This window comes from Homo sapiens, chromosome 11 (assembly GCF_000001405.40).
Source record: "Homo sapiens chromosome 11, GRCh38.p14 Primary Assembly".
Taxonomy (NCBI): Eukaryota; Metazoa; Chordata; class Mammalia; order Primates; family Hominidae; genus Homo; species Homo sapiens.
Genome location: NC_000011.10, coordinates 19054211 through 19067534, shown reverse-complemented (window position 1 = coordinate 19067534; position 13324 = coordinate 19054211). Strand labels below are relative to the sequence as shown.

Here is a 13324-nt window from a genome sequence, read left to right as displayed (position 1 = left end):
GTTATCCTTTCTTCTCAGAAGGAGATTCTCATTTCGTATTATGGCTACAAGCTTAAAAGGAATGAAAGAGTTTAGAACAACTCATGGTGGAAAGTCTAACAGGAAAATGTCATGAAAATGCAGGACTTCAAAAGACCGAACCTTTAGTGTATTCTCATTCATGAGAAATACAACTGCCAAGAAACTGCCTGATGCACACTTGGCTCTGGGGAAAACAAAAACAAAAACAACAACAACAACATCAAAAGACAAAACAAAACCAAAACAAAAAGCTCTTCTTGAGAATTTATAACCATAAATCAGTATCACATTGTGATCCAAATTCATACAACCTGTGGTCTTCCTAAAATTTCAAATGACAAATGAGGTTTCTGAGGACAACCTGATACATGAAAGCACATTGGGAAGTTCCTCCAGTCAATTAGAAAAAGAAAACAGAAGACCTCTCTAAAAGAACTCAACTACAATTCAGGCCTTAAAGAATTTCCACAAATAAGCTCCCAAGGCAAGTGGCAACTCACAGTCAAAAATCACAAACAAATCACATGAAAGTGCCAGAAGAAATTACAGACAGTAAAGTCACACACACATAGACTTTAGCACTAGAATTATCAGATAATTATAATATTGCCATGCTTAATAGGATTAAAGACATAAAAGAAAGAATTGACAACACAAGTCAGCATCAAGAAATGAAAAAATGACTATGAAAGTAGAAAAACAAAATATCAAATAGATTAACCTTAAATGTAAATGGGCTAAATGTCCCAATTAAAACATATAGACTGCCAAATTGGATAAAGAGTCAAGACCCATTGGTGTGCTGTATTCAGGAGACCCATCTCATGTGTAAAGACACACATAGGCTCAAAATAAAGGGATGGAGGAATAGAATATTTACCAAGCAAATGGAAAGCAAAAAAAAACAAAAACAAAAACAGGGGTTGCAATCCTAGTCTCTGATAAAACAGACTTTAAACCAACAAAGATCAAAAGAGACAAAGAAGGCCATTATGTAATGCTAAAGGGATCAATTCAATAAGAAGAGCTAACTATCCTAAATATATATGCACCCAATACAGGAGCACACAGATTCATAAAGCAAGTCCTTAGAGACCTACAAAGAGACTTAGACTCCCACACAATAATAGTGGGAGAGCTTAACACCCCACTGTCAATAATAGACAGATCAATGAGACAGAAAATTAACAAGGATATTCAGGACTTGAGCTCAGCTCTGGACCAAGCAGACCTAATAGAAATCTACAGAACTCTCCACCCCACGTCAACAGAATATACATTCTTCTCAGCACCACATTGCGCTTATTCTAAAATTGACCACATAATTAAAAGTAAAACACTCTTCAGCAAAAGCAAAAGAATGGAAATAATAACAGTCTCTCAGACCACAGTGCAATCAAATTAGAACTCATGATTAAAAAACTCACTCAAAACCACACAACTACATGGAAACTGAACAACTTGCTTTTTAATGACTACTGGGTAAATAAAGAAATTAAGGCAGAAATAAATGAGTTCTTTGAAACCAATAAGAACAAAGACACAACATACCAGAATCTCTGGGACACAGCTAAAGCAGTGTTTAGAGGGAAATTTATAGCGCTAAATGCCCACAGAAGAAAGCAGGAAAGATCTAAAATTGACACTCTAACATCACAATGAAAAGAACTAGAAAAGCAAGAGCAAACAAATTGAAAAGCTAGCAGAAGGCAAGAAATAACTAAGATCAGAGCAAAACTGAAGGAGATAGGGAAATGAAAAACCCTTCAAAAAATCAATAAATCCAGCAGCTGGTTTTTGGAAAAGATTAACAAAATACATAGACTGCTAGCAAGACTAATAAAGAAGAAAAAAGAGAAGAATCAAATAGACACAATAAAAAATGATAAAAGGGATATCACCACTGAGCCCACAGAAATACAAACTACCATCAGATAATTCTATAAATGCCTCTATGCAAATAAACCAGAAAATCTAGAAGAAATGCATAAATTCCTGGACACATACACTCTCCCAAGACTAAACCAGGAAGAAGTCGAATCCCTGAATAAACCAATAACAACTTCTGAAACTGAGGCAGTAATTAATAGCCTACCAATCAAAAAAAGCCCAGGACCAGACGGATTCACAGCCAAATTCTACCAGAGGTACAAAGAGGAGCTAATACCATTCCTCCTGAAACTATTCCAAATGATAGAAAAGGAGGGACTCCTCCCTAACTCATTTTATGAGGCCAGCCTCATCCTGATACCAAAACCTGGCAGAGACAAAACAAAAAAAGAAAATTTCAGGCCAATATCCCTGATGAACATTGATGCAAAAATCCTCAATAAAGTACTGTCAAACCGAATCCAGCAGCACATCCAAAAGTTTATCCACCATGATCAAGTCGGCTTCATCCCTGGGATGCAAGTCTGGCTCAAAATACGCAAATCAATAAATGTAATCCATCACATAAGCAGAACCAATGACAAAAACCACATGATTATCTCAATAGATGCAGAAAAGGCTGTCGATAAAATTCAACACCCCTTCATGCTAAAAACTCTCAATAAACTGGGTACTGATGGAACATATCTCAAAATAATAAGAGCTATTTTTTATAAACCCACAGCAAATATCACACTGAATTGGCAAAAGCTGGAAGAATTCCCTTTGAAAATTGCCACAAGACAAGGATGCCCTCTCTCACCACTCCTATTCAACATAGTATTGGAAGTTCTGCACAGAGAAATCAGACAAGAAAAAGAAATAAAGGGTATTCAATTAGGAAAAGAGGACGTCAAATTGTCCCTGTTTGCAGATGACATGATTGTATATTTAGAAAACTCCATTGTCTCAGTCCCAAATCTCCTTAAGCTGATAAGCAACTTCAGCAAAGTCTCAGGATACAAAATCAATGTGCAAAAATCACAAGCATTCCCATACACCAATAATAGACAAACAGAGAGCCAAATCATGAGTGAACTCTCATTTACAATTGCTACAAAGAGAATAAAATACCTAGGAATACAATTTACAAAGGATGTGAAGGACCTCTTCAAGGAGAACTACAAACCACTGCTCAAGGAAATAAGAGAGGATACAAACAAATGGAAAAAAATTCCATGCTCATGGATAGGAAGAATCAATGTCGTGAAAATGGCCATACTGCCCAAAGTAATTTATAGTTTTAATGCTATCCACGTCAGGCTACCATTGACTTTCTTCACAGAAGTAGAAAAAACTACTTTAAATTTCATATGGAAACAAAAGAGATCCTGTATAGCCAGGACAATCCTAAGCAAAAAGAATAAAGCTGGAGGCAACACACTACCTGACTTCAAACTATACTACAAGGCTACAGTAACCAAAACAACATGGTGCTGGTACTAAAACATATATATCGACCAGTGGAACAGAACAGAGGCCTCAGAAATGATGCCACACATGTACAACCATCTGATCTTTGACAAACCTGACAAAAACAAGCAATGGGGAAAGGATTCCTTATTTAATAAATGGTGTTGGGAAAACTGGTTAGCCATATGCAGAAAACTGAAACTGGACCCCTTCCTTACACCTTATACAAAAATTAACTCAAAATGGATTAAAGACTTAAACATAAGACCTAAAACCATAAAACCCTAGAAGAAAACCTAGACAGTACCATTCAGGACATAGGCATGGGCAAAGACCTCATGAATAAAACACCAAAAGCAATGGCAACAAAAGCCAAAATTGACAAATGGGATCTAATTAAACTAAAGAGCTTCTGCACAGCAAAAGAAACTATCATCAGAGTGAACAGGCAACCTACAGAATGAGAGAAAATTTTTGCAATCTATCCATCTGACAAAGGGCTAATATCCAGAATTTACAAGAAACTTAAACAAATTTGTAAGAAAAAATAAACAACTCCATCAAAAAGTGGGTGAAGAATATGAACAGAGACTTCTCAAAAGAAGATATTTATATGGCCAACCAACATGAAAAAATGCTCATCATCACTGGTCATTAGAGGAATGCAAATTAAAACCACAATGAGATACCATCTTACACCAGTTAGAATGGAAATCATTAAAAAGTCAGGAAACAACAGATGCTGGAGAGGATGTGGAGAAATAGGAACGCTTTTACACGGTTGGTGGGAGTGCAAATTAGTTCAACCATTGTGGAAGACAGTGTGGCGATTCCTCAAGGATCTAGAACCAGAAATACCATTTGTCTCAGCAATCCCACTACTGGGTATATACCCAAGAGATTATAAATCATTCTACTATAAAGACACATGCACACATACGTTTATTGCAGCACTATTAACAATAGCAAAGACCTGGAACCAACCCAAATGCCCATCAATGATAGACTGGATAAAGAAAATGTGGTACATATACACCATGGAATTCTATGCAGCCGTAAGAAAAGGATGAGTTTATGTTCTTTGCAGGGACGTGGATGAAGCTGGAAACCATCATTCTCAGCAAACTAACACAGGAACAGAAAACCAAACACTGCATGTTCTCACTCATATGTGGGAGTTGAACAATGAGAACACATGGATACAGGGAGGGGAACATCACACACTGGGGCCTCTCAGGGGGTGGGGAGCTAGGAGAGGGATAGCACTAGGAGAAATACCTAATGTAGATGACGGGTTGATGGATGCAGCAAACCACCACGGCATGTGTATACGTAGGTAACAAACCTGCACGTTCTGCCCATGTATCGCATAACTTAAAGTATAATTTTAAAAAAATAAAATAGAACTTCTAGAAATTAGTAATATAAAAATTGGATTTAAACTTCAGTGGATAGATTAAACAGATGATTAGACACAATGGAAAGAATCTAGTTAACTGGAAGATACATCTGAAGAAATTACCCAGAAAGCAGCCTCAGAGACAGAGACGAGACATAAGGAAAAGGTTAAAGAAATAAGGATGATAGAAGAAGAGGGCTAACATATGTTGAATTAGACTTCCAGAAAGAGATAATACTAAAAGTGATAATGAGAGCTAATAATTTTATAGTACTTACTATGTGCTCCTATTGTAAATCATTTATATACATTAAATTATTAATCTTCACAGCAAACCTATAGATTAATAATGTTATCCCCATTTTACTGATGAGGAAACAAACATAACAGAGTTACAAAATCTGGCTAAGGTCCCATAGGAGAAATGCCAAGTAGCCTGGTCTTGTGTTCTTCACCGTTATGTTAATATTTAAAGAGATTATAGCATTAAATTGTTTAAAAATGTTAAATGATGATAATTTTAAAATCTAGGAAACTCCACAAATCCCAAACATGATTTGAAAAAGAGTCACCAGATACAATTTGGTGAGAATGTATCATAGCAGAGAAAAATAAAAGCTCTTAGAGGAAAAAAAGGCAGATCACCACAAGCAAATGGCAACCTGACTGATGGCCGCAACAGTAACCCTGGCAGTCAGAACATGGATCTTCAATGTGCTGGAAGAAAGAAACTATCACCCTACAATGCCATGCCTGGAAAAACCATCTTTAGAAGACGAGGGTGAAACAATGACATTTTCAGATAGATAAAAGGAGGCATTTACCATGCAGAGACTCTCACAGAAGGAACTCCTGAAGAATGTGTTTTGAGAAATGGAAGATATGAGATGTAAAATGGGAGGATGAGCAAAAGCATTGGTGATTATGTGGATAAATCTGAATAAACACTGACTATTTAAAACAATAATAAGTGTTTCATTTGTTGGAGGGAAACAGAATCAAAATCAAATAATAGAGCACAGTAGGTTAGACAGTAACAGAAGTTAAAGCTTTCTAAGGTCCTGCTGCTGCTCATGAGGAAAGCAGATTTCTGGGGACAAATGCATGGTTTACCCACTGCACCAAAGTATAATACAAGAAAATGCTGAGTCTCAGAACTCGCCTCAATCAACACATGTTCCCTGTCTGAGGTCACCCAGCTGCTCTGGAATGCAAAGGGGCATGATCTTGTATGGTGTTCATCATTGTGTCTTCATTGCCTGGAACGGTACCTGACATATCATAGGCAAACAATAAACAGTGTTGAATGAATGAATAAATGAGTGAATAATTTCTTCTGATTGTCTTAAATGCTTCATAATTGTTACTTATAACTCAATTTGGCTGCAGCATAGGCACATGAAAGGAAGTCATAGGAGATAAGGCTGAAAATATTGGTTGGCTCTAGATGATCTAAAAATAATCTAGCTAATAAATATCATGATGTAGAGGGAGAAACGTGACAGATGGTGCATGTGATGTGCTAAGTCCCCTATATTTTATAAGGAGACTCAATATATCTAGTTGTTAACATCGATAAATCAAAAATAGAAATGTTGTTTTATTACGCAAAGCTTTTTTAAAAAAAAGAATGGAAACTGTATGCAGTGGTTGCTTTTGGGGAATGAGACTTCGAGAGACTTTGCATTTCATTTTATACACCTTAGTGTCATTTGAAATAAACCTGATTTTGAAAGGTCAAGTAAGCCAGGGCCTTGAATGCCAAGCAGAAGAGGGCAGACTATTCTTTAGCTATGAAAGCTCACGTCGCTTGATTGGTCTGCTTCCTGGATGCTCATTGTGGGCAATGAAAGACTTCAGGACGGTGATTCCTTGCAGGGAGTGGGGCCGGAGAGGGTAGGGGAGAAACCAAGATAAGTGATTGGAGTCAGGGCAAATGCTGAGAAACATCTCATGTGGTTTCCTGTGTCATACTCTTATTTTCCAGCACCCTCTGTACAGGAAATCACAGGGTTGTTGAGCATCTTGATAAGCTTCACTCAGTCATCAGGTTTCACTCCAGATCCTGCAGGCATCTCCCCATCCTCAGCTGTTTGCCAGTCCCAGGAAAGCACTTCTCAACTCACCAACTCCAGTAGAAAGAAGGGTGTTAAGGTAAGAGTTTGTTCAAGAACCATCTTCTTTCAAAGGCAGTTTTGGTTTTTACCTTAGTCCACATCCTGATGAATTCATTAGGAAAAGAAGACAGGAAGCTCCTTTGAGGAAGCTTTGGATGCTGGCAGCTTAGATGCTGGGAGATCCGAATGGGGTCAAGCAGGTTCGTCCCACTTCTCTTCTATCTACCAATATTCTCCCCTTCTCTTCGACCATTCAAATCTGAAACTATGGAGAGAAAGATTTTGCTGATTTTAATTTAGGGGCAGGCTAGAATGAAGTCATTACTTCCCTAAGCTAAATTGTTATTTAAAACCTCAGGTTGCACTGATTTTCTTGTTATTCAAAAGGTTTTTCCTTCATATCTGTCATTGTCCCAGCAGAAAACACACATCACACACTCTAAAGGGGTAGTTTAGAGGAGTTTAGTGAAGAGACTGTTTACAACGGCGTGAACAGGGATTAAGGAATGATGAAGCCCTCAAAGGCAAGTGATAGTGGAGGGCTGTTACCGTTGCTAGGTCTGAAGTGATAAGGAGAAAGAGAAGTTCTGAGAACTCAGAATGTGCTGTAGCGGTAACTGTAACTGTAACTATAGCTGTGGCTACAGGAAAGGGCCACCAGGCAGGGCTATGTCCTTAGGTAGAAAAACACTGCCACTGCCAACTCACAGCCCTTCAGGGCGCAGGGAGAGAGCCAGGAAATTTTTAAAAAATCATCCCCCAATCTACTGTCAATGTGTCCCTTTGGCTGAAAAAAAAAGTCACCCTCCAATCTCCTGTCAATGTGTACCCTTTGGAGCCTGAGTGAAAGACAGCCCATTGACGAGGCACAGACATGTCTCCTCCCAGGATGCAAAGGCAGGTAGAGAAGGATGGACATGAGATCCTAATAGCAAATAGGAAAGTCCATTTCTTCCCATAGCCTCTTCTCAGTTTGTCTTTCCTGAGACTTTCTCTATTAATGTGATTGAATCAATTTCTCATTCTATCACCTCCCTTTTTTTTAATTGTTTGACCTTCCCATCTAGTGTCACTTCTTTGGACTAGTCTCTCACTATCATCATAAATGCCTTGAGAATGGAATGTGGTTGGGAAAAAAAGGGATTGGGAGTACATAGGTACTCCCAGCTATAAGTACACAGGTATGTGTAATGTAAGTTTATGATTTTGGCTTCTCTAAAAAGAAACCTATTATAGTGATAATCAAAAAGAATGTTTACTAGACTTGGGCTGATAACTCTAAGACATCAAACATCAAGGCTCCTTCCAATTTCTATTTCCCCATCCCTAAAGCGGTACCCTTACCCTCATGGTCCTACATGGCTCCCAAACACATCAGCATTCCAGCCAGAGAGAAGAGAAAAAAAGAAAGAGTACAGGAGTAGCTGGTTATATCACTTTCTCTCACCTCCCCTTGACCATCACATATGGTTACATGGTGCCATTAGCATAAAGGGAAGCTGAGAAATGGGCCTTTTTCTGATCTAAGACTCAGAATTATTATGTGTGAGAAAAGGAGAATGGCTTTTGGGGCAACAAGCAGTCTCTATAGCCCGATTCTCTTTTAGCATCTGTGCTCACCTGGAGATTTTTCTCAACACTGCCTCACAAATAGTGAATGATGTAGACATGGAACAGAAATAAACCTAGGACAGGGCCCCAGGAGACTGGAGCTGGTATTGGACCTGCTTTTCACCATGTGATTCAGGAAACTCTTTTGTACACGTTAAGCCTGTCTTTCTTTGTTAAATGAGCGTATTACAATAGATGGCCTCCAAGGGATATGTGTTGGAGGCTGGGGATATAATAGTGAACAACCACAACAAAAATGTTGAGCTTAATGAGGGAAGTAAAAGAAAAAACAGACATACACTTAAAAATACAGGTGCAGGGCCGGGCACGGTGGCTCACGCCTGTAATCCTGGCACTTTGGGAGGCCGAGGCGGGCAGATCACAAGGTCAGAAGTTCGAGACCATCCTGGCTAACACAGTGAAACCCCGTCTCTACTGAAAAAAAAAATACAAAAAATTAGCCAGTCGTGGTGGTGGGCACCTGTAGTCCCAGCTACTCGGGAGGCTGAGGCAGGAGAATGGCGTGAGCCCAGGAGGCGGAGCTTGCAGTGAGCCGAGATCGAGCCACTGCACTCCAGCCTGGGTGACAGAGCGAGACTCCATCTCAAAAAAAAAAAAAAATACAGGTGCAAACTGTGTTCAGTGCCACGAATAAAAAGGCCAACCTGCCCTGAGGGAGGACAACAGAAGTGGTTTTCTTCCATATCCTCACAAGGCCAACCAGGGCTACAGGAACTAAGACAGCATGTGATGGATGCATTCAGTCCTTGATGCCAATTCTGCACCCCCATGGAGGACACATTCACTTTCCCCTTGGAGGCCTCCAACCCATGAGAGTTTTCTGCAGTGTGGAGTGATTGACGGCTGTTTTTCTGAAGCAAGAAAGAGCTCTTGCATTCAGTTGCTTATTCTCAGTTGGCTTCTATTCATATCTCTTCTCCTTATTTGATTAATCTCTCTTCCTTACTGTTTCTTAAAGTTGCTTAATCTAGGCTTAAAAAACTGCAATTTCGACATTCCATTTTGGATTTGATATGAGCATTACTTGTTGCTTTTCTCCTTTCTTCATGTGTAGTTGGTATTGAACCCTTGCAATGGGGCTGCAAGGCTGGTTAAGAACAAGCCCTCTGACACAGACCTGTGGGTTCAAATGCAGGCTCTACCACTTGTTTGTGAGACCTGAAGCATATTACTCAATACATTTGTGCTTTAATCTCCTTCTCTGTAAAATGGGACTAATAATAGTACTGACCTCACCAGGCTCTGAAGAAGATTTAAAGAGGCTATACCTGAAGAGCATTCAGCCAGCTGCTATTATTCACCCCATTATGAGTAAGGGCTCCTTCCCAAGTGTAATTTGCATAAGCATCTGCCTTTTCCCCTCAAAGCCCTGCACAGTGTAGACATGGTTCTTTTTTCTAATTTCCCACTCCTTTCCCCAAATAATCCTGTTCACAAATGCTTTAATTTGCAAAGAAAGCTCAAAATCATCTGGGGGAAGTAATGGGTCCACCTTAGATGTATTCATACCACAACACCCTCTAGTTACCTCTAGACACTAGACACTCTCAATTGCTGCCTCTCTCTCCTTTTCCCAAATTGCCCCCTTTTCCTCCAAGATGCAGAGAAATTCAGATAAACCCTGAATCCTCTCCATAAACTGGAAGTTTAAACTCTTTTGGGTGCTGAGCAAAAGCCATATACTAGCCCTTCCTGGATTGAAGATATGACAGTGGCCATTATTCACTATCTGTGTAGGCAGAAGCAATCCCTTCAAATACACCAGAGCTTTCCCAGAAGGAAACATGAAGAATGATGTTTTCTTCATTTCTTTACATGTGTGTTTTTTAGTGACTAATTTCATTTTAAAATGTTGGTGTTCCACTTAGCCCAAATTTTCAACTACTCTTGGCTCCCCATGCATGCATGCATGCATTCATTCATTCATTTATATGTGGTACAAACTTCTTGACCCTCCACTATGCCCTCACATTGAGCTAGGCACTGAGGACACAGAAATGGATAAGAGAAAAACTCTTTCTGTTTTCATAAAGCTGACCCACTGAGCAATTTCTAGTCTGACAGGCCTGGCTGTCCTCAGACCTGTCCTAGCAAGAAGTCACCTCTCCGTTATGACCCTAAATCACAATCTCCATTCTGACTGTTGATGGACTCCTCTCAGTCATTAAGGGTGGCCATGGGTCATGGCCTGGGTCATTTCTTCTGGCCCCTGAGAGGAAATCTGTATGCCAGGATAAAAAGAATCCTGAACTCAGAGTACTGTCTCTTGCTGCCCCACATATTCTGCCTAGACTTTTCTCTTCCTGCCTCCAGGAGACATGACACAGTGACAGTGAGTGGGGGTGTTTGGGCCTTAGAATATTCCCATACCAGCAGAGGATCTACCTTGTAATAGAAAGAGCCCAGGATTTAGAGTCAGCAAGAAATGAGTTTGAATCCAGGTGCTAGGACTCCCTGGCCCTTAATAAATGACTTAATCTCTTCAAGCCTCTGATTTCCTCTCCTGTAAAACAGGGGCGGTAATTACCACATAACAGGCTGGTCATGAAAATCAGTGAACATGCAGCAGGTGCTCAAGTCTTGTTTTTGTTTCCAGGGGCACCAGTGGAGGTTTTCTGAGCATGGATCCAACCACCCCGGCCTGGGGAACAGAAAGTACAACAGTGAATGGAAATGACCAAGCCCTTCTTCTGCTTTGTGGCAAGGAGACCCTGATCCCGGTCTTCCTGATCCTTTTCATTGCCCTGGTCGGGCTGGTAGGAAACGGGTTTGTGCTCTGGCTCCTGGGCTTCCGCATGCGCAGGAACGCCTTCTCTGTCTACGTCCTCAGCCTGGCCGGGGCCGACTTCCTCTTCCTCTGCTTCCAGATTATAAATTGCCTGGTGTACCTCAGTAACTTCTTCTGTTCCATCTCCATCAATTTCCCTAGCTTCTTCACCACTGTGATGACCTGTGCCTACCTTGCAGGCCTGAGCATGCTGAGCACCGTCAGCACCGAGCGCTGCCTGTCCGTCCTGTGGCCCATCTGGTATCGCTGCCGCCGCCCCAGACACCTGTCAGCGGTCGTGTGTGTCCTGCTCTGGGCCCTGTCCCTACTGCTGAGCATCTTGGAAGGGAAGTTCTGTGGCTTCTTATTTAGTGATGGTGACTCTGGTTGGTGTCAGACATTTGATTTCATCACTGCAGCGTGGCTGATTTTTTTATTCATGGTTCTCTGTGGGTCCAGTCTGGCCCTGCTGGTCAGGATCCTCTGTGGCTCCAGGGGTCTGCCACTGACCAGGCTGTACCTGACCATCCTGCTCACAGTGCTGGTGTTCCTCCTCTGCGGCCTGCCCTTTGGCATTCAGTGGTTCCTAATATTATGGATCTGGAAGGATTCTGATGTCTTATTTTGTCATATTCATCCAGTTTCAGTTGTCCTGTCATCTCTTAACAGCAGTGCCAACCCCATCATTTACTTCTTCGTGGGCTCTTTTAGGAAGCAGTGGCGGCTGCAGCAGCCGATCCTCAAGCTGGCTCTCCAGAGGGCTCTGCAGGACATTGCTGAGGTGGATCACAGTGAAGGATGCTTCCGTCAGGGCACCCCGGAGATGTCGAGAAGCAGTCTGGTGTAGAGATGGACAGCCTCTACTTCCATCAGATATATGTGGCTTTGAGAGGCAACTTTGCCCCTGTCTGTCTGATTTGCTGAACTTTCTCAGTCCTGATTTTAAAACAGTTAAGAGAGTCCTTGTGAGGATTAAGTGAGACAGTGCCTATGAAACAAACACTAAGTGCAGTGTCTCTGGAACTGCCTTACTCACAGGCTTCCACCACAGCCCTATGAGAGCTTTGCCAACTCTGCGGTCCATGACTGTTCCCACTTTTAATGAATCCTACCTTTCGCAGAAGGCTGAAAGCAGGGCAGAAAAGATCTACATTTCTTTGGACACTGCACTTGATAGGGACTCAAAGAATGTTATATTTTTAATTAATTTCTTTTTCTCTTCCGTACAATTTCTGTCTCAACAAAATTAGAAGAATTAAATTTAAAACTAGCTCCAAAAGAGCAGTCGTCTTTCATTTTGGCAGACCTTAGAATATCCCCCTAGCTTAATAAATCTTTGTTGAATGGCTTAATGAATGAATAAACTGGTTAATGTTTAAGTTAAACCTCTGAAAAGTCTCCATTTACCAGATTTGAGTCACTAAATTTATTGCTTTCACTACTTTTGAATTTTGCAAACATGAAATTAAGTTTTATAATTAGATAAATCAATGTCAACACATATTTAAAGTTTGAGGTACACTGTCTTCCTGTGGTTTCCTTTCACATGCCATCCCTTAAAATCCCAGCTACACGCCTTCCCATTCCTTCCCCTTTGCCTTTGTTCTAATCTTCCCTCTCTGGGGGCTCTCTAATTCGTCCTGGAAGTTTCCAGTGGTCTTATAGACTCCATGTTCTTGGAGGACAGGCTGTATGTCAGATTTACCTTTTATTCCGAAGAACTCGGAGCATTTATTTTGTTAATTAAATTGCACATATTTTTAAAAGTTACGTGTTCCACAGAATAAAATACTAATTGTAAATGCTGCATCTTTTAATAATTTTTTATTATTTTTAATTAAGGTATAATTAAGAGAATGATATGCACAGATCATAAATGTACAGCTTAATGAGTTTTGTTAAATGAATACACCTATGTGACTCAAACTTCATTCAAGACAAAATATTTTCATCATCTCTAAAAGTTCCCCTGTGCTTCCTCATTCTTCCTGCCCCCAGAGGCAACCATTGTTTCTATTTCAATCAACAAATATTAGCTTTGCCTGA

General features: G+C 40.4%; 1 protein-coding gene across 2 annotated transcripts; it reads left to right on the top strand.

Moving 5' to 3' along the window:
- Positions 1 to 6817: 6817 nt before the first annotated feature.
- On the top strand, positions 6818 to 13080 carry MRGPRX2 (MAS related GPR family member X2). Of its 2 annotated transcripts, NM_001303615.2 has the most exons (3): positions 7518 to 7776; positions 7947 to 8060; positions 11108 to 13080. In NM_001303615.2, exon 3 carries the CDS (start codon positions 11133 to 11135, stop codon positions 12123 to 12125), a length of 993 nt encoding a protein of 330 aa, NP_001290544.1. In that variant the 5' UTR covers positions 7518 to 7776; positions 7947 to 8060; positions 11108 to 11132; the 3' UTR covers positions 12126 to 13080. The 2 variants fall into 2 exon arrangements, with proteins under 2 accessions (NP_473371.1, NP_001290544.1); NM_054030.4 differs by lacking the exons at positions 7518 to 7776; positions 7947 to 8060 and adding an exon at positions 6818 to 6916.
- Positions 13081 to 13324: the final 244 nt, after the last annotated feature.

What these genes read in the sequence shown, in the direction of transcription:
- MRGPRX2 (NM_054030.4), top strand. Translation starts at nt 11,133, where the DNA reads ATGGATCCAACCACCCCGGCCTGGGGAACAGAAAGTACAACAGTGAAT.